Source organism: Homo sapiens, chromosome 7, assembly GCF_000001405.40.
Source record: "Homo sapiens chromosome 7, GRCh38.p14 Primary Assembly".
Taxonomy (NCBI): domain Eukaryota; kingdom Metazoa; phylum Chordata; class Mammalia; order Primates; family Hominidae; genus Homo; species Homo sapiens.
In genome coordinates this window covers 102,032,121-102,053,691 of record NC_000007.14, presented here as the reverse complement: position 1 = coordinate 102,053,691, position 21,571 = coordinate 102,032,121, and the positions used below count along the sequence as shown (strand labels likewise).

The 21,571-nt window shown below is 46.3% G+C and overlaps 1 protein-coding gene across 25 annotated transcripts in view, besides 1 other annotated feature; it reads right to left on the bottom strand.

Annotated features, from left to right (window-relative positions):
• Positions 1–21,571, bottom strand: part of CUX1 (cut like homeobox 1) — a 467,952-nt gene that overhangs the window by 230,267 nt on the left and 216,114 nt on the right. The gene's annotated exons all lie outside the window — the stretch shown is intronic.
• Positions 16,821–17,023: a silencer, noted in NCBI's record as "fragment chr7:101679949-101680151 (GRCh37/hg19 assembly coordinates)". NCBI's record gives its function as "represses an EF-1alpha promoter that drives an FKBP-Casp9 reporter gene in an ReSE screen in HepG2 liver carcinoma cells {active_cell/tissue: HepG2}" and the evidence as "EXISTENCE:reporter gene assay evidence [ECO:0000049][PMID:32094911]".

Here is a 21,571-nt window from a genome sequence, read left to right as displayed (position 1 = left end):
ATCTCATATTCTGACATATTTGTGGGATATAAACATAAAAACAATTTTTAACTCTTGGACATAGAAAGTAGAAGGATGGTTACCAGAGGCTGGGAGGGGTAGTGGGGCTGGAAAGGTGGTATGGTTAATGGGTACCAAAAAAGCCAGGAGGAATGAATTAAGACCTATTATTTGATAGCACGACAGGGTGATTACAGTCAATAACTTAATTGTACATTTAAAAGCAATTAAAGAAGTATAATCGGATTATTTGTAACACAAAGGATAAATGCTTCAGGTGATGGATACTCCATTTCCATATGAGATTATTACACGTAGCATGCCTGTATCAAAACATCTCATGTGCTCCACCCCATAAATATATATATACATCCCCACAAAAATTAAAAATATTTAATAAAAGTAACTGAATTAGAATATGGGCAAAGGATATGAATAGATGTTTCTCCAAAGATACAAATGGCCAATAGGCACATGAAAAGATGCTCAATGCCAATACTCATTAGGGAAATGCAAATCAAAACCACAATGAGATACCACAACATCCACTGGGATGACTAGCATCAAAAAGACATATAATGGGGCCGGCTGCGGTGGCTCACGCCTATAATCCCAGCACTTTAGGAGGCCGAGGCGGGCAGATCACCTGAGGTCAGGAGTTCGAGACCAGCCTGGCCAACATGGTGAAACCCTGTCTCCACTAAAAATACAAAAAAATTAGCTGGGCATGGTGGCACGTGCCTGTAATCCCAGCTACTCAGGAGGCCGAGGCAGGAGAATCGCTTGAACCTGCGAGGCAGAGGTTGCACTGAGCCGAGATCACACTACCGCATTCCAGCCTGGGCAAGAGAGCGAGACCCTGTCTCCCAAAAAAAAGATGATACTAAGTGTTAGAAAGGATGTCGAGAAACTGAACTGGAACCCTCCTACATTGCTGACAGAAATGTAAAATTACACAGCCACCTTGGAAAACAGTTTGGCCATTCCTCAAAATGTTAAAAATAGAGTTACCCTATTACTCAGCAATTCTACTCCTAGGTAGGCAAGAAAGACAAAAGTGTTTACCTGCACAAAAACTTATGTATATGGATGTTCATAGAAGCATTATTCATAATAGCCAAAAAGTGGGGAAACAAAACTCCAAATGGCCATCAGCTGATAATTGGATAAATAAAACATGGGACATCCATACAATGGAATATTATTCAGCCATAAAAAGAATGAAAGCAAGTACTGGTATATGCTACAGCATAGATGAATATCGAAACCATGGTTAAGTAAAAGAAGCCGGGAACAAAAAACTAATATATTATTTGATCTCATTGATATGAAATGTTAAGAATGGCCAAATCTACAGAGACATGGGGGGAATGGCCAAATCTACAGAAGGGGGATTCATGGTTGCCAAGGGTTGGGGTTGGGATAAATGAGGAGTGACCACTAATGGGTATTACGTTTCTTTCTTTCTTTTTAGATGGAGTCTCACTCTGTTACCCAGGCTGGAGTGCAGTGGTGCAATCTCGGCTTACTGCAACCTCTGCCTCCCAGGTTCAAGTGATTCTCCTGCCTCAGTCTCCTGAGTAGCTGGGATTACAGGCGCCCACCACCACGCTTGGCTAATTTTTTTGTACTTCGTTTTTTTAGTAGAGACGGGGTTTCGCCATGTTGGCCAGGCTGTTCTCAAACTCCTGACCTCAAGTGACCTGCCTGACTTGGCCTCCCAAAGTGCTGGGATTACAGATGTGAGCCACCGCGCCCGGCCAGTATGAGGTTTCTTTTTGAGCTGACGAAAATGTTCTGGAATTAGGGTGATGGCTGCATGACTTGGTGAATACACTAAAAGTCATTTAATTGTAAAAAGAAAAGCAAAGCGAAAACAAAGTTGACAGTGAAAAGTAGGTCTTCCTCCCATCCACATCCACCTGTCATCCAGCTGCCTGGTCTGGAGGTAAAGATAGTCTTGGGCATCCTCCCAGAGGTATTTATGCATTTACAAGCACCTATAGACATGCACTGTGTTCCTTTTTTTTTTTTTTTGAGACAGAGTCTCGCTCTGTCACCCAGGCTGGAGTGCAGAGGCACGATCTTGGCTCACTGCAACCTCTGCCTCCCAGGTTCAAACGATTCTGCTGCCTCTGATTTTCCTACCCTAAGTAGCTGGGACTACAGTTGCGCACCATCATGCCTGGCTAATTTTCTGTATTTTGGTAAAGACGGGCTTTCAACATGTTGGCCAGGCTGGTCTCAAACTCCTGAGCTCAGGTGATACGCCCGCGTCAGTCTCTCAAAGTGTTGGGATTACAGGCATGAGCCACTGCGCCCGGCCCTATTTTTTTTTTTTTCAAACACAAATGATAGTCTATTAGATGCTGCTCTACATCCTGTGTTTTGCAAACTTAGGGCAAGTTTTAAAGAAGACAAAGATCATCTTTATTCGTGGTGGGAGGCAGAAGGCTTCAGTGGGGAGAGGAGGGCTATTCAAAGACACAGAGACGTGTTCAAACAAAGTGGCCTGCTCAGAGAAGGGCAGGGACCTGCCGTGCCTTGGAGCAGAGGAGGTGACTGGGGATACGTGAGGTGAGGAGGCAGGCAGGGGCCAGCCTGTGGAGGGAGGTGCAAGGGACCACGCCCGGGGTGGGGGCAGCTTATGCTGAAGGGGAATCCCTGAGGATGTCAATCAGGGTGGGAAATGAAGCGATCACTCAGGACAGGATGGCAACTGGTGGTAGACAGACCAGACCAGGAAAGAGAGGGAGAAAGCCAACTGCTGGGAAGGAGGGAGCTGATTCCAGCGAGGTTAGGGAAATAGAATTCACAGGGTCTTAGCAGGGAGTGGTGGCATGTGCCCATAGTCCCAGCTACTCGAGAGGTTGAGGCGGGAGGATCACTTGAGCCCGGGAATTTGAGGCTGCAGTGAGCTATGATCACACAAATGCACTCCAGCCTGGGCAGCAGAGCGAGAGCCCAACACAACAGTAAATAATAATAATAATAATAATAATAATAAAAAGAATTCACAGGGTCTAATACTGAACATAGCTTCTCCCAGAGTTCTGGCCAGGGCAACTAGGGGCTGGTTACCTCTCCCGAAATGGGGCATACGCAGGTGCCTGTGTTTACATGGGAAATGAAGATTATTAGTTAGCGAGGTACCCACAGTGGGAGCCCCAGGGAGGCCTGGCGTTGGATGACGGGCCCAGGCCAGAGGCAAAAATTTGGAACCACCAGCCCCAAACGGCCCAGATGAGGTTACTCTGGAGTGTGGATGGGACAGAGATACAGGGAAAGCCCCAGAAGGTTAAATCCTGGGGACTACGGCTATTGAAGAAGTTAAAGGACCTAGAGGATCCTATAATCAATAACTAGCTACCAGCTCCCATCCAGCACTGCTTTTATGCCATCATCTTTAAACATGTGCATATAACGTCGCTGCTCTGCGAGAGAGATTTCCTGTTATATGGATGGGACAGAGAAGCGGACATGAGATATTCAAGGTCACGCTGGCAAATGATGATGTCAGGATTCAAATCCAGATCTGACTCCAAGATCAGTGATTTGTCAGTTTGGTTTTCTCCGCTCCTTTAAGCAGGAACCCAGGAGAAAATTCAGGAGACGGTGTGAAAAGGGAAGCAGTGTCTACACCCCGGGAGTCTGCTCCTATCAGGGGGGTGTTCTGGTCCACAGTGGCAGCTCCTCAGTAGGGACGGCAGGAATGCTCCCAGCCAGATTCCTGAGCCCTCCTCGTGCCTGCGCTGGGACAAGACTGTTCCTAGAGCGGCAGCCCTTATCTGCTGATGTGTGCTCTGTGGGGATGCCTGGTCCCACATCTCAGGGCCAGACTTGCTCTCCTAAGTCCCCAAACATCAAGGGGCTCCCTGAAAAGCAAAGCTTTTTCCCAGGGCAGGCCTGCGGTCATTCCTCCCACAGCCCTAGGAACCAGTTTCTCTCCCTTCCTATGTACCCATGGATCATTTCATGGGTTTCCGTTTTTCTTTTTTTGTTTTTGTTTTTTTTGGTAGAGATGGGATCTCACTATGTTGCCCCAGCTGGACTCAAACTCCTGGGCTCAAGTGATCCTCCTGCCTCGGCCTCTCCATCACACCTGGGATTACAGGTGTGAGCCACCGCATCCAACTGGTTTCTCTTTTCTTGTTATGCTGGAAGACAGTGTAATCTCACAGGTTCCCCCTCTTCTCCTACTTCTAAATCAATTATAAGACACTCTTCAGGCTTTACAGAATAAGCATGGGCTTCGGAGTTCGACATCAGAGTCCAAGTTTCAGCTCAAGGCTGACAAGCTCCAAGGAAGTTACTTGATCTCTCTGGGCCCATTTACTCCTCTCCCCTCCGGGCTGAGCTGCTGTGCAGATGAAATGGCAGAACGGAACGAAGCTTCTGGCACGCAGCTGTTGCTGAAGGGATGCTCTTCTCAGCCTCCTTCATCTGCCCAAAGGGCTGCGCTGAGTCTGCTGTATTTCAGAGGAAATTTCTCCGAGTGAGTCTCTATTTCTTACTATCAGTGAACCATGGCAGGCCTTTCCCAGCTCCTGCCCCCAGTACTGTGTCCCCCTAGGTCCTTGTAGGTGGTCCAAGAAAAGAGGCAGGGGACAAGGCCAAAGAACAGCAGCAAAGCAGGGGAGGCCTATTCCATCCCCCAGCGAGGAAGGATCTCGGTGACCGCTGGCCCACCTGGCTGGACTTAGAAGGCTCAGGAAGTTTATACTTAGAGGGGAACAGATGAAACAGACATGGAGCTCATGTTTGTTTGTTTGTTTTTTTGAGATAGAGTCTCGCTCTGTCACCCAGGCTGAAACAGTCAACATTAACGATTTTATGTCAAATTCCCTTTATTTATTTATTTTTGAGATGGAGTCTCGCTCTGTTGCCCAGGCTGGAGTGCAGTGGCGCAATCTCAGTTCATGGCAACCTCTGCCTCCCAGGTTCAAGTGATTCCCCTGCCTCAGCCTCTCGAGTAGCTGGGATGACAGGCGTGTGCCACCATGCATAGCTAATTTTTGTATTTTTAGTAGAGACGGGGTTTCACCATGCTGGCCAGGCTGGTCTCAAACTCCTGACCTCAGGTAATCCACCCGCCTTGGCCTCCCAAATTGCTGGGATTACAGGCATGAGCCATTGTGCCCAGCTGATTTTTTTTTGAAAATTTGATTAATAGTGGTCATGTGCCCTTACGTGTGTGTGAAAGAGTGGAATGAATATTAGACCGAGTTCAAACACCTGGGTTCTAACACTACCACGCCTTCCAACCGAGTGACCCTGTTCGGTCTATTTCTGACCTCACAGGGCTGTGTCCATGAGGCTTTTCTGTGCAGGTGGCTGGACAAGTGTGTGACCCCATCAGGTGGGGGACACTCATTGGAGGTGGTGGGAATACAGTGGCACGAGGGTGGCATTTGCCCGGGCATAACAAGTTTCAAGGGAGCCAAAGATTTCAGGACAGGACCAGGAGAGGGTGGAGGGGAGGAGAGGCTGGAGCCTGGAGCTGGGAGTCCCTGCCTTGCCCCTTGGACTGTCTGCTACCCCTCCTGTTGGTAACTCAGAATGATGATGATGCCCCCAGCACAGGGTGGTGTCGAAGGGTGAGCGACATCATGGAAATGGTGCTTTGTAGACGTAAAATGCTGTGCAAAATATTATTAGCAAAGGGAGTTGTGACACAACTGGAAAAAGACTGGGGGAGGGACGAGACATGGAATACTCCACATCCAGCAACAAACTCCTCAGGGCTCTCAGCTGTTATCAAACTGCATCCTATGCTCCCTCCTCAGAACCACACACAGGAACGTGGGCTTCCTTTGGCCATGTGGTCCTTGGTGTCAGTTTCATTTAAAGAACGACTGCATTAAATTGATGGAACTTTAGTAAAACCTAATTAACATCCATATTGAGTTTTTCCAAGGGAAGGGAGATCTGCAGAAAATAAAATACCCTAGAAATTTAAATTCCACGATAGTCAAATAAATACTGTATGACTGAGCATTACAAGTTGGATGATTTTACTCCAGGAGACGAAAATGAGTAAGAGTCAATCTATTCTTACAGACACATACTGCTTTCTAATCATCCATCCATCCATCCATCCCTCCCTCCCTCCCTACCTCTAGACTAATCATCCATCCATCCCTCTATCCAGTTATCCATCCATCCATCTCTCCCTCCCTCCTTCCCTCCCTCCCTCCATCTCTCCCTTCATCCATCCATAGCTCTATCCTATCACCCATCCATCTATCCCTTTATCCAATCATCCAGCCATCCATCCCTCTATCCAATCATCTATCCATCCATCCTTCTATCCAATCATCCATCCATCTATCCCCTATTCACCCTCCCTCCATGCAATCAACCATCTATCCATTCCCATTTATCTAACAAATCATCCATCCACCCACACACCCACCATCCACCCATTCATCCACCAATCCATCCACCCATCCACCATCACTTAACAGAGCGCCAAGCACTGTGCCACATGGGGATACAGATCTTGCTAAACTGTTAAGCTTCATGAAGGCAACGGCTACATTCATTCACCTACCACCACTAACCAGGGTCTAGTTCTGGTCTAGCCTGGCATACATGCTCCACAAATATTTAATGAATCAATGAATGAACAGACCTTCCCTGAGAAGCTCTTGGTCTGGAAGGGGACAGGGTTACAGCCCTGTCATGAGCAAGGTAGGGGAGCATCCTGGGGGTGGGAACACTAGATGAGCAACAAGATCGCTTTGGCGACTCTCCCAGTGTGGCCTCCCTGACAAAGAATGCACTTCGCAAGCTGTCAAGAACAGAAGTGAGCTGGGTGTGGTGGCTCATGCCTGTAATCCCAACACTTTGGGAGGCCTTTGTGGGAGGACTGCTTGAGGCCAGGAGTTCAAGACCGTCTTGGGCAACGTAGCAAGCCCTCATCTCTTCAAAAAAAAAATGCAAAAATTAGCTGGGTGTAGTGGTGTGTACCTGTAGTCCCAGCCACTCAGGAGGCTGAGGCTGGAGGGCTGCTTGAGCCCAGGAGGTCCAGGCTGCAGTGAGCTGTGATCGTGCAACTGCACTCCAGCCTGGGTGACAGAGTGAGACTGTCTCAAAAAAAAAAAAAAAAAAAAAAAAAAATCCAAACCAAACCAAAACAGAACAGGAGTGAAATGGGGGCTGGGCACAGTGGCTTACGCCTGTAATCCCAGCAGTTAGGGAGACTGAGGCAGGTGGATCACTTGAAGTGAGGAGTTCGAGACCAGCCTGGCTAACGTGACGAAACCCTGTCTCTACTAAACATATAAAAATTAGCCAGGTGTGGTGGTGCGTGCCTGTAATCCCAGCTACTTCAGAGGCTGAGGCAGGAGAATCACTTGAACCTGGGAGGCGGAGGTGGCAGTGAGCTGCAATCGCATCCCTACACTCCAGCCTGGGTGACAAAGCAAGAGTCCATCTCCAAAAACGGGAAGTGAATTGGGTAAGTCCTGGGGTTTCCCGGGGTGCCAGCTCTGTCCCGACTCCCATAGGGGCTGACATTGGTCTATCACAAGGGACCTCAATTTCCTTACCTGCAACCCACTGGTCTCTTCAGCCTCAGGTTTTGAGTCAACTTTGCCACAATATCATTTTCCTAAGTCATTCTGGGGTTCTTAGAGCTTCCTCTTGTGCATTTCAACTCAGTTCAGCTCAATTCAACAAACATTTCCCAGGCACCTACTACATCCCAGGCACTGGGAGATTCAGAAACCCCATGCACCCTTCCTTGGCAACCTGAACCCCAAGGCCAGAGCCCCATGTTCAGGAGCCATGTACGCAGCTGGGTCCCTGGAGCGGGTCCCCTGGCGGAGATGCCAAATGACAGCTGGGAAGGCCCACTCTGCCCGAGTTCGAGCTGTAAACATCCAAGAAATCTACCAGCAGTTACCGAGAGGATGTTAAAAATAATTATCCACTGAAAATATTAGATTTGCTCTGGATTGTTCATTACATACAATGGTTTAATAGGACTTTTATTGAATAGCTGCAGAGCTCTGGGCCGAAATCAATTTGCCCTCCACGTGGAATTTTGATGTCTGCTGTTGACTTGTACAACATGGAGCAATTTGTAATCGCTCCAGCTTGCCGTTGTTTTCAAAGCTCCTGCTATATCACAAGCATTTATTTCTGACCACAAAATTACATTTATTCAACAGAAAGCAGCTCCGGGTCTTTAAGAGGTTAACTTCTGGAGTGCTTGGCTGCGCTCCAGCCCACATCGGAGGGGGCGCGCGGGCGCAGTGGCACCCGGCAGTGGCGGCAGCGCCGGGCGGGCGGCCGTGATTAATAGACTGCTGAGAGCGCCCCTTTCCACAGGCGCACGGCTCCTGCCCCGGCTTCCATAGATCATGGACTTAGCCTCAACATATCTGACTGAAATTGAATTTGGCTTCTCTCTCAACTGTTCATTTCCTATGTTATGCAAGGTTAGATCCCTTTCTGCATGAGCAGAACCAAACCAGCTGCAGCTTTGGAGGAGAAAATGTGCTTTCAATTATGCAGCTGGCCTGGATGTTGAGCCGCAGTCCGACGGGTCCCTAATTGAGCCATCATGGCGCGAACTTACAGGGAGACACTGTGTGTGTCAGGCTTGCGGGTTTTGCCATAAGATAATGACAGTACAGCAGCCACATCACCACAGTGACCACCACGGCTAACACCACTGTCACCTCCACCACTGCAGAAGGCCCAAGAGCCTGCGGACAGACATACTGGCTGAGAAGTCAGTTCCCCAGCAAAGGTCCAGGGCAGCAGGCTGTGTTAGGGTCCCTGGGAAGCCTCCCTGTATCTTCCAGCCAGAACGCATCATCCTGTCCCCAGAGTGCCTGGTCTGCTCCACAGTCGCCTGTCTGGCCACAAACCCAAAGAAGACCCTGACAACCCCTCCCTACTCCCAGCAGGGCACTGACCTATTTTGCTTGTGGGCGTCTAGGAACCAAAGTAGATGCTCGCACATCACACTCAATAAGTACTCATTAACAAGGAGAAGGCGAGAAGCAGGGGGAAATTCAGCTAAGAATGTTTTATGTAACCACTTCCATAAGGCAAAGAATAGATAAAGCATCTAAGACAAGATACGGGCCCTCAAAGCATGTACAATCTTAAGAGCAGGCTGGAAAGAGGGGAAAAGTTAATGCAATAACAAGAAAACAGGCACCCTGTTTAGAAAATGGGCTAAGGTGGCCGGGCGCAGTGGCTCACACCTGTAATCCCGGCACTTTGGGAGGCCAAGGCAGGCAGATCACCTGAGGTCAGGAGTTCGAGACCAGCCTGGACAACATAGTGAAACCCCATCTCTACTAAAAATACAAAAATTTGCTGGGTGTGGTGGCACACACCTGTAACCCCAGCTACTTGGGAGGCTGAGGCAGGAGAATCGCTGGAACCTAGGAGGTGGAGGTTGCAGTGAGCCAAGATGGCACCACTGCACTCCAGCCTCTCCAGCCTGGGCGACAGAGCAAGACTCTTTCCAAAAAAAACAAAAAAACGGAAAATGGGCTAAGGATCTCAAAAGAAAACACATAAGGCCTGGCGCAGTGGCTCACGTAATCCCAAAAACTTTGGGAGGCCAAGACAGGAGGATCACCTGAGGCCAGGAGTTCAAGGCTACAGTGAGCCATGATCGCACCACCGCACGCCAGTCTGCACAACAGAGTGAGACCCTGTCTCTCTCTAAAAAAAGACATGCAAACGGCTGACAGGTATATGAAAAGCTGCTCAACATCTTTAATCATCTGGAAAATTTGACTCAAAACCACGATGAGGTATCACCTGATACCTGTTAGAAGGGCTATTACCAAAAAGACACACGAGTGCTAGTGAGACATGGAGAAATGGGCATCTTTGTACACTGTTGGTGGGAATGTAAATTGGTACAGCCATTATGGGAAACAGTACGGAGGTTCCCCCCAAAATTAATACGATCCAGCAACACCACAAAGGGATTGAAATCAGTATTGTTAAGAGTTATCTGCACACTCATGTATACTGCGGCACTATTTACAATAGAAAGATATGGAAACAGACTAAGCATCCAACAACAAATACATGGGTAATAAACATGTGATTTTCTATACACACGGTCATCCCTTGGTACACGCAGGAGATTGGTGCTAGGACCCCCTGCGTGTACCAAAATCTGCACATACTCAAGGTCCCCCAGTCCTTGAAAAGGGTAAAAGTTTTACTTAAGCAAGAAAAGTAGGTTTTCTTTTCCAAGGTACAGCATGGTGACTATAGTTAATAATCTTGTAATCATATATATGACATTTGCTAAGGCAGTAGATCTCAAGTGTTCTCAACACACACACACACACACACACACACACACACACACACACACACACAGTGAGCTAATGGGTATGTTGTCAGATTGTGGAAATCACTTCGTAATGTATGCATGTATCAAAACATCACATTGGGCTGGGTGTGGTGGATCACGCCTGTAATCCCACCACTTTGGGAGAATGAGGTGGGAGGATCGCTTGAGGTCAGGAGTTCAAGACCAGCCTAGCCAACGTGGCAAAACCTCGTCTCTACAAAAAATAAAAAAATTAGCCAGGCGTGGTGGCACACGTCCACAGTCCCTGCTAATCAGGAGGCTGAGGCTTGAACCCAGGAGGTGGAGGTTGCAGTGAGCTGAGACTGTGCTGCTGGAGTTCAAGACCAGCCTGGGCAACGCAGCCAGACTTCGGCTTTACTAAAATCGAAAAAATATAAAATTAGCCTGGCCAGGAGCCTATAGTCCTAACTGCTTGGGAGGCTGAAGCAGGAAGATTGCTTGAGCCCGGGAGGTCAAGGCTGCAGTGAGCCCTGATTATGCCACTGCACTCCAGCCTGGGTGACAGAGGGAGATCCTGTCTCAAAAAATAAAAACCCCAAACCATCACATTATACACTATAAATATATACAACTTTTCTTTGTTAATGATACTTTAATAGAGCTGAGGATAAAAAAAGAGGGAAAAAGTTAGAAATAGGTTGAGATGGTCAGGAAAATGATCAAAGGAGATAGACTTTTCGGTTCAGCCCTAAAGGATGGAAATGAGTTTTATAGGTAGGGAACAGCAAAAGGGTCTTAACAATAACAGAGCCTTCAGGAAATCAAAAAGTATGTTCAGGTGACTCATAATACACAGGCCAGTTCGGCCAGAGTAGAAGTCCAGGACTTTGAAGCTGGAAAAATATTTCAAAGGCAAGTCATGGAGCTTCTAACATGCCAATCTAAGAAGACTGAGTGGGCAGAGAGAGTCACAGAACTTGTTACCAGGAGAAAGAGCTCTTTCAGGGAACCGAGCCCAGTGGTTCCTACAACTAGCAGTGCATGAGCATCAGAGGTGGGCTTTGAAAAATGACAGATTCTAAGGTTCCACCCCAGGCCTTCTACACCGGAATGTCAGGGTAGGAGCCTGGGGAGCTGTATTTCTGGAAACATGTGAGCAATTCTCATAGGGCCAGTGCAGCACTGGTCCAACCCAGCAGCAGCTTTGGGAGCCACTGATCTGGTCCAACCTTCTCTAATCCTATTTCACCCATGATGCTTAATGCAGTATTTAGGCAAGTACTGGTAAGATGGGGACAGAAACAGGTACAAAGACACATACACACACACACACACTCACACACTCACTCACACTCACACACACATCCTCCCTTCTACATTTTAGAAGCATAAGGCCTTGGTAAGCAAACTATAAGGGCAGAATGTCTTTAGGCTCAAAACCAAAAGGGAGAGATAGCGCCAAATCCTAACCACTAGGCGGATCACCTGAGCTAGGAGTTTGACACCAGCCTGGCCAACATGGCAAAATCCCGTCTCTACTAAAAATACAAAAAATTAGCCAGGCATAGTGGTGTGCACCTGTAGTCCCAGCTACTTGGGAGGCTGAGGCAGGAGAATCGCTTGAACCCGGGAGGTGGAGGTTGCAGTGAGCCGAGATCATCCACTGCACTCCAGCCTGGGTGACAGAACAAGACTCCATCTCAAAAAAAAAAAAAAAAAAAATCAAAAGGGAGATATAAATGAAGCCCTATTAGAGATGAGAAGAGGAAGAATCTGTTTCTGGCTGGGTATTTTGGGAAGACTTGGAGGATCTGGCATTTAGAAGGATGGATAAGGCAAGGGCATGGTGGCTCATGCTTGTAATCTCAGCATTTCGGGAGGCCAAGGCGGGTTGATCACTTGAGGCCAGGAGTTCAAGACCAGCCTGAACAACATGGTAAAACCCCATCTCTTCTAATAATACAAAATTAGCCGGACATGGTGGCGCACACCTGAAATCCCAGCTACTCAGGAGGCTAAGGCAGGAGAATCGCTTGAACCCAGGAAGCAGAGATTATGGTGAGCCACTGCACTCCAGCCTGGGTGACACAGAGAGACTCTATTTCAAAAAAAAAAAAAAAAAAAAAAAAAAAGAATGGATAAGAGGTGACAATCTCCCTGGCAGGTGGTCGTCCAAGCAATTCTCCTGTTTCAACCTCCCAAGTAGCTGGTGCCACCACCATGCCTGGCTAATTTTTTTATTTTTGTTTTTTTTTTGTATTTTTAGTAGAGACAGGGTTTCACTATGTTGGCCAGGCTGGTCTTGAACTCCTGACCTTGTGATCCACCCGCCTCAGCCTCCCAAAGTGCTGGTATTACAGGCATGAGCCACTGTGCCCAGCCAGCTCATCCCATTTTTGAACAGATTTACATTGCTGGAGAATGTCCTTTTCGGTTCTGCTAGCGATAGTCAACCAAAGTACTGCTCCAGTGAGTCTCATGAGGTTTCAGAGCTACGGAGCTCCTTGGGGGAGGATCTGGGTAACCCACTCGTTTTACAGATGAGCAAAGTCGGGCAGAAAGAGGCCCCGAGACTCACCCAAGGTCACAGAGGTGGTGGGCGGCAGCGCCTGGACTGGCTCCCTGTGAAATGCTCTTTGGAGCGAACCACATGGACGCCCTGGCTTTATTTAGCAATGGCCTTTAGATCTGAATGCTTAAATATGTTACAGCTCAACAGATATGGGCTGCAAGATGGGCAGCAGACTCGTAGTCACTTTTAACTCATTCATAGACTGCTGTAGTTCACCCAACTTTATTTCCCCAATTATTTGATTAGAATCTGTCAAATCATCCTGCCGGTGCCCATGGGGAATTTGCTTTCTACTGTACGTCTTTGAAAGGGCCTAGTTCAAAGGGGAGACCAAAGGGTCCCTACAAAGAGACTTAAGGGTTCTGCCTACAAGGCCCTGGCATGACCCGGGCCCTACTAACTTCCTTGGTATTGCTCCCTGCCAGGCAAGCCCATCCCTGCAGAGCCCTGGCACTCACTGCCCCCATCTTCCTGCTGCTCTTTCCCAGCTCTGAGTGTGGCTGGTTCTCCTTGCTTCTTTCCTCTGATGTTCCGTCATCCTCCCTGGAGAGGCCTCCCTGGATGACTGAAGAAGTCACTACCACCTCTTCCCGCTCTACCCCAAGACCCAGTGTGTCTCCCTCGCAGTGCCTGGCGCCATCTAACATTGCCTTTTGTGTTTATCATCAGTTTCCCTTCATTAGAATAGCAGGATCCTAGTTGACTGTATTCAATGAGACATCTTTAGCAACTGTTTGGCCCATAGCTGGAAGCAGGAGGCTCCCGAAAAGGTTGCGTTGAATGAAGACCAGAGAGTAAAACCCAGCCTCCGAGAGCACGTCCTGCATGCAGCTCTGAACGTGGCCAGCGCGCTGCATGTAAGGGAGACATTCAGCACAAAGGGAAGTTTCAGATCATTCCTTGGTCCCTCCCTCAGGCCATGTCAGCAGGTGATACTGTGATGAAATTCACAGTTAACCTGGGCTCCACTCCTTCCAACGATGCAGATCGTGGTTGTAGCAAAGCGCATGGACACAGTTATGGATGTACACGAGACAATGCACCAAGCTCCAGAATTTGTCTAGGAGGGGCTGGTTAGAAGGGAAGGGGGCTTCAGGCAGGGTTTGCAGAGCACTGTATGCAAGATGAACATCAATCTTTTTTTTTTTTTTTTTTTGAAATAGAGACAGGGTCTCGCTCTGTTGCCCAGACTGGAGTGCAACAGTGTGATCATAGGTTACTGCAGCCTCAACCTCCTGGGCTCAAATGATCCTCCCAAATCAGCCTCCCAAGTAGCTGGGACTACAGGTGTATGATACCGCACTTGGCTAACGTTTGCATTTTTTTGTAGAGATGGAGTTTCACTACGTTGCCAAGGCTGGTCTGGAGCTCCCAGGCTCAAGTGAGCCGCCTGTCTCGGCCTCTCAAAGTGTCAGTCAAAGACTGGAAAGGTTGGCTGAGATCAGGGAGGGGCTGAAGGCACTGCTTCCTCCCCGCTCAAGCAGTATCAGAGCACACCAACCTTAGCACTTCTGGGATGCCAGACGGCCCCAGGATCGAGGCCAGTCCTGCCATTATGACCTGTGTGACTTGGAATCCTCTCTCGGGTTTAGTCCTTTTATCTGTAAGATGAGGACGATGCTTCCATCCACCCATCCAATAAACACTTATTTAGTGCTCGTGAAGGAGAGGCCCTGGGTATACAGAGCTCGTAACTTTCAGCAAATAAATCCATATGCTTTTCTTTATTAATCTTTTGTTACAACAAAGTTTTATCATATTCTTTTTCCTGTTGATGGCCGGCTGGGTTGTTTTCATATGTTAACTATTTTCAAAATTTCTGAACTGGTTTTCCAGGGCAAATAAGTTTATTTATCTATTTAATTTTCTTTTAAAATAGGGTCTGGCTCTGTCTCCTAGGCTGGGGTGCAGTGTTGCTATCAAAGCCTCCAACTCCCAGGCTCAAGTGATCCTCCTGCCTCAGCCTCCTGAGTAGCTGGGACTACAGGCATGTGCCACCATGCTTGGGTAACTTTTTAAATTTTTTTGTCAAGATGGAGGTCTCACTATGTTGCTCAGCTGGTCTCAAACTTCTGGGCTCAAGCGCCACTCCCACCTCTGCCTGCCAAAGTACTAGGATGACAGGCATGAGCCACCGCACCCGCCATGCTTGTTTCTTTAGCGTATATATTTAGGAGTGAAACTGCCGCGTCAAGGTACAGGTGAGTCTTTATCACCAGATGCCAAATTGGCTTTCAAAAAGTTTAAATCAACTTATGCTCCTAACTTGACTTTTTAATTTTAGCCAACTTGGTCAGGAGGAATAACTTGCAGATGAGTTATTTTAATCTGCATATCCCTGGTTATTATGCAACCTAGACATCTTTTCATATAGCTACTGACCATTCCAATGTTCTGACAATTATGCTCATGACTTGTACTCATTTCCTTACTGGGTTTCTCCCCCCATTGACATGCGAGCATTTTGAATATCTTGTGAACATTGTTAATTACAGGTGTGACAACTACCTCTTCCAGATTTGTAAATCATGGCCAAGGTTACCCCACATACAACGGTGGGATGCACAGCCCTAGACAGTATGCTTCACATTCTGGATGTCTGAATCTATCACGGTAAACACTGAGGTAAGTATGAATCTTTATTATGGCAAGTTTCCAACAGGTGATGTGAAAAGTATTGAGAACGGCAAACCTTTTTTCTAGTTCACATGAACATACCATGGAGCTAGCAGTGTACTGGCCTTATCTTTCTGCTTTTTTTTTTTTTGAGACAGAGTCTCACTCTGTCGCCCAGGCTGGACTGCAATGCTTTCAGCTCACTGCAGCCTCCACCTCCCAGGTTCAAGCAACTCTCGTGCCTCAGTCTCCCGAGTAGCTGAGACTACAGGCATGTGCCACCATGCCCAGCTAAGTTTTGTATTTTCAGCAGAGATAGGGTTTCACCATGTTGCCCAGACTGGTCTCAAACTCCTGACATCAAGTGATCCGCCTGCCTCAGCCTCCCAAAGTGCTGAGATTACAGGCATGAGCCACCACACCCGGCCATGTTTCCACTTTCTTTAGGGTATCTTTCCATGAAAAAAGCTCCTATTTAAAAATTTTAAGGTAGTTTACTGCAACAATCTCTTTTATGGTTTTCTGTTTAAGAAATTCTACCCAGCCCAGGGCCGGGCGTGGTGGCTCACACCTGTAATCCCAGCATTTTGGGAAGCCGAGGTGGGTGGATCACATGAGGTTGGGAGTTCGAGACCAGCCTGACCAACACAGAGAAACCCTGTCTCTACTAAAAATACAAAATTAGCTGGGCGTGGTGGCGCATGCTTGTAATCCCAGCTACTCTGGAGGCTGAGGCAGGAGAATCACTTGAACCCGGGAGGCAGAGGTTGTGGTGAGCCAAGATCGTGCCATTGCATTCCAGCCTGGGCAACAAGAACAAAACTCCGTCTCAAAAAAAAAAAAAAAGAAAAGAAAAGAAAGAAATTCTACCCAGCCCAAAGTCATCATCTTTTATATTTTATTCTATAAAGTTTAAAGCTTTGATCTAAGACTCTCCTTGTAATTTGTGTTTCCACACGGTGTAAGGTAGGGCTCCAACTCTAGTTAATTGTTTGCCTGTCTGTTTGAGACAGGATCTTGCTCTGTCAGCCAGGCTGTAGTGCAGTGGCACGCGATCAACAGCTCACTGAAGTCTCCAACTTGTGGGCTCAAGCAATCATCCCACCTCAGCCTTCCAAGTGGCTGGGACTACAGGCGTGTGCCATCACACCCAGCTAATTTTTGTAAGTTTTTGTACAGACAGGGTTTCACCATGTTGCCCAGGTTAGTCTCTAACACGAGGGCTCAAGGGAACTGCTTGCTTCAGCCTCCCAAAGTGCTGGGATTACAGATAGCAGCCAGTGCACTCGGTCTCAACTTCGTTTAATCTATAAGGATTTGCCAATCGTCAGAGGACCATGAAAAGTCCCCCCTTTCCTCACTGATCCATACCATCTTTGCAATTTATTCAGCTTCTATATATATGCATAGGCCAGATTCCGGTGTTTTTTTTTTTTTTTGTTTGTTTGCTTGTTTTTTTGAGATGGAGTCTCACTCTGTGGGCCAGGCTGGACTGCAGTGGCACAATCTCGGCTCACTGCTACCTCTGCTTCCCGGGTTCAAGCAATTCTCCTGCCTCAGCCTTTCAAGTAGCTGGGACTACAGGAGCACGTGACCACACCAGGCTGATTTTTGTATTTTTAGTAGAGACGAAGTTTCACCATATTGGTCAGGCTGGTGTATGGAACTCCTGACCTCAAGTGATCCTCCTGCCTTGGCCTCCCAAAGTGCTGGGATTACGGGTAAGAGCCAACGCGCTCGGCCAGATTCTGATTTCTTTATTGTGTTCCTTTGGTTTATTTATCTCATTCTCTGCCAACTACTGCAGCTTTAATAATCTGGTAGGGCAATTCCTCTAACTTGGAGTGGTTCAGTATTATCTTCACTATTATTTACCATTTGTTCTTGCATATGTATAAAAATTCTGGAATCAGCTTTTCAAAAGTTTCATTAAGATTCTTGCTGGGGCCGGGCTCGGTGGCTCATGACTGTAATCCCAGCACTTTGGGAGGCAGAGGCAGTCTGATCGCCTGAGGTCAGGAGTTTGAGACCAGCCTGGCGAAACCGTCTTTACTAAAAACACAAAAATTAGCTGGGTGTGGTGGCAGGCGCCTGTAATCCCAGCTACTTGGGATTACACAAATGTAATATGTGAACCTGATTGGACCTCAGCTGCAGGGAGGGCCGTTACAAAAGAAATCTTAGGGATAACCAGAAAAATTTGATTTTAGATCAAATAGGAGATAACCTTGAATCCGGGAGGTGGAGGTTGCAGTGAGCTGAAATGGTGCCACTGTATTCCAGCCTGGGTGACAGAGCGAGACTCTGTCTCAAAACAAAAAAAATTTTGTTGGGATTTTTACTGGAACTACAATGACTGATTCTGTGATCAATCTGGAGAAAAGTGATCGCTTCAATAGTAGTGGAAATTTCTCTCCTTGTATACTTTCTCTCTCTCCATTTAACTCTCCTTTAATATCCTTCAATATAAATGTTACATCTTTCTCTAGAAAGATTTCCCTTGTATTGTTACATTCATTTCTAGCTATAGTTTTTTTTTTTTTTTTTTGGCTGGCTATCTCCAGTAGTATCCTTTTTAAAAATGACTTTTTAAGTTTGCTGCTGATACAGGGGTATATAATTACTTTTGTATATTGATTTTGTATCTAGTAACCTGGTTAAATAATTGAGGCTCACTTGAAAAATGACAGTTTGATTTCTTCTGTTGCAATACTTATACTGTAGGCTGAAAATATTATAGTCAAAAATGTATTTAATAAACTAACCTGGCAAACATCATAGCTTAGCTTAGCCTACTTTAAATATATTCAGAAGACTTACATTAGCTTATAGTTGGGGAAAATTATCCAAGACAAAGCCTATTTTATCATCAGGTATTCACCAGCTCATGTAATTTATTGAATACTGTACTGAAACTGACAAACGGCATGGTTGTATGGGTACTCAAAGTACAGTTTCTTTGCATCATCCTAAAGTTGCACCATCGTAAGTCAAGAGCTATCTGTACTTTATTTCTTTTTGTCTTCTCTGCTAGCTAAGATTTGCAGTACAGTGTTAATTAAAGTAGCAATAGTAGGTATTCTTGTCTTGTTCCTGGTTTTCTGGGAATTTTTTTTTTTTTTTTTTTTACCACCACTGGGTCTGATGATTAATGTATGTTTCTGATAAATACCTTTTACCACATTAAAGAAGTTTCCCTCTATTCCTAAGATGTTTCCCTCTATTCCTAGTTTGTTAGTAGGGTTTTTTGTTTGTTTGTTTGTTTTTGAGATGGAATCTTGATCTGTTGCCCAGGCTAGAGTGCGGTGGCGCGATCTCGGCTCACTGTAACCTCTGCCTCCTGGGTTCAAGTGATTCTCCTGCTTCAGCCTCCTGCATAGCTAGGTGTACAGGCCTGCACCCACCACACCCAGCTAATTTTTTGTTTTTGTATTTTTTTTTTTTTTTTTGAGACGGAGTCTCTCTCTGTCACCAGGCTGGAGTGCAGTGGCACGATCCCGGCTCACTGCAACCTCTGACTCACTGGTTCAAGTGATTCTCCTGCCTCAGCCTTCTGAGTAGCTAGGATTACGGGCATATGCCACCACGTCCAGCTAATTTTTGTATTTTTAGTAGAGCTGGGGTTTCACCATGTTGGCCAGGATGGTCTCGATCTCCTGAACTTGTGATCCGCCCACCTCGGCCTCCCAAAGTGCTGGGATTACAGGTGTGAGCCACAGTGCCCGGCCTGTTTTTGTATTTTTAGTAGAGACAGGGTTCCACCACATTGTCCAGGCTGGTCTCAAACTCCTGACCACCATGCCTAGCCTGTTGGTAGTTTTTAATCATGAATGGATTTAAATTTTATCAAAATCTTTTCATATAACTACTGAAATTGTTTCCTCCTTTAATCTGCTAATGACATGGATTTATGTTAATAAGTTTTGAACATTTTAAACAAAACAGCCTTCTTGGGATATACCAAGCTTGATGGACTTAATTTACTAATACCTTTGAAAAGACTTCTGTGTATTTATTCAATAATAAGACTGACTTTTTTTTTTTTTTTTTTTTTTGAGATGGAGTCTCGCTCTGTCACCTGGGCTGGAGTCCAGTGGCATGATCTCAGCTCACCGCAACCTCCGCCTGCTGGGTTTAAGCGATTCTCCTGCCTCAGCCTCCCAAGTAGCCGGGATTACAGGTGCCTGCCACCACTCCCGGCTAATTTTTATATTTTTAGTAGAGATGGGGTTGCACCATGTTGGCCAGGCTGGTCTCGATCTCCCAACCTCGAGTGATCTGCCTGCCTCAGCCTCCCAAAGTGCTGAGATTAGAGACGTAAGCCACCATGCGTGGCCAATAAGACTGACTTTTAATTTTCCTTTCTTGTACTGTTCTTGTCTTGTTTTGGTATCAAGGTTATATTAGCCTCATAAAAGGAGTTAAGAAGTGCTCGCTCTTTCTATTTTCTGAAGGAGTCTGCTAAGTATGAGAACTCTCTATTTCATGAATGATTGATAAAACTCTCTTGGAAACTGTCTAGACCTTATGGAAATATTTCAGTAATAGTTACAAAGCTATTCAAGTTGTCTGTTTCTTCTTTAATCAATTTTGGTAGTTACAGAATTTTGGAACTTTTTCGACTTCAGTATTTATTGGCAGAAAGTTGCTTATAACATTCCCTTTATCTTTTTAATCTCTGCAGCAGCTGCAATGTCATCCCCAATTTTATTCCTAACATTTTTTGTCTTGATGAGTACAGTGGTTTGTCAGTTGCAGTGGTATTTTCAAATAAATGACTTTTGCAATGTTTCTCTCCTGGCTCTTTGTTTTTTTCATTCATTTCTATTCTTATGTTTATTATTATATTTGTCATTTCTTTCATTCTATTTGAACTTATTCTGTTGTACATTTATTTGTTTGTTTATTTATTTAATTGAGATGGAGTCTTGCTAGGTTAGGCCAGGCTGGTCTCAAACTCCTGGCCTCAGATGATCCTCCTGGCTTGGCCTCCCAAAGTGCTGGGACTACAGGCGTGAGCCATCATACCAGCCTACTGTAATTTTATAAAGCCGATGCTTAGTTCATAGATTGTTTTTCATTTATTCTCTAATACGAGCACTCAAGTTATTTCTTAAGAGGATTTTCCTCCCTGAGGACACTTGTCCCCCACTACCAAGAGGTTCTCTGAGCCAGCCCCTCATCCCCTCAACCTTCCATAACACGCCCCTTCTCAGGGAGAGAAGCAAGGATTGGCCAGACTAGTGGAAAGACAGCATTTTCCTAGAGGGTATGTGCATTACTTTACTAAAGGGATTGTCTAAATTGTTGGGCTAGAATAAGCTTTAAATTGGACTTCATATTAAGGGTACACCTCCCCCACACCACCCATCAATTTGCTGGGCTTGTGAAACACCCAAAATTAGGTATCATAATCAATCAATCGATATCTAATTTCAGTGTGAGTTACATTTTATGATTTTGTTATAATAATTATAAGTAATCATTTCATTATCTGAAACTTTTATTTATTTATTTATTTATTTATTTAGACGGAGTCTCACTCTGTCACCCAGGCTAGAGTACAGTGGCTCTAGAGTGCTTGGCTCACTGCAACCTCTGCCTCCCGAGTTCAACTGATTCTCATGCCTCAGCCTCCCAGGTAGCTGTGATTACAGGCACATGCCATCATGCCCGCCTAATTTTTGTATGTTTAGTCTATTAGACGGGGTTTCATCATGTTGGCCAGGCTGGTCTCGAACTCTTGACCTCAGGTGATCCACCCGCCTCAGCCTCCCAAAGTGCTGGGATTATAGGCATGAGACTGAGACGGGGTCTCACTATATTGACCAGGCTGGTCTCGATCTCCTGGGCTCAAGCGATCCTCCTGCCTTGTCCTCCCAAACTGCTGGGATTCCACACATGATCACCTTTTTAATAGGAACACATCATAATGAAAGGATGGAAGTAAAATATTTTAAAAACCACTTCCAGGCCAGGCGTGGTGGCCCATGCCTGTAATCCCAGCCCTCTGGGAGGCTGAGGCGGGCGGATCACTGGAGCTCAGGAGTTCAAGACCAGCCTGGCCAACATGGTGAAAC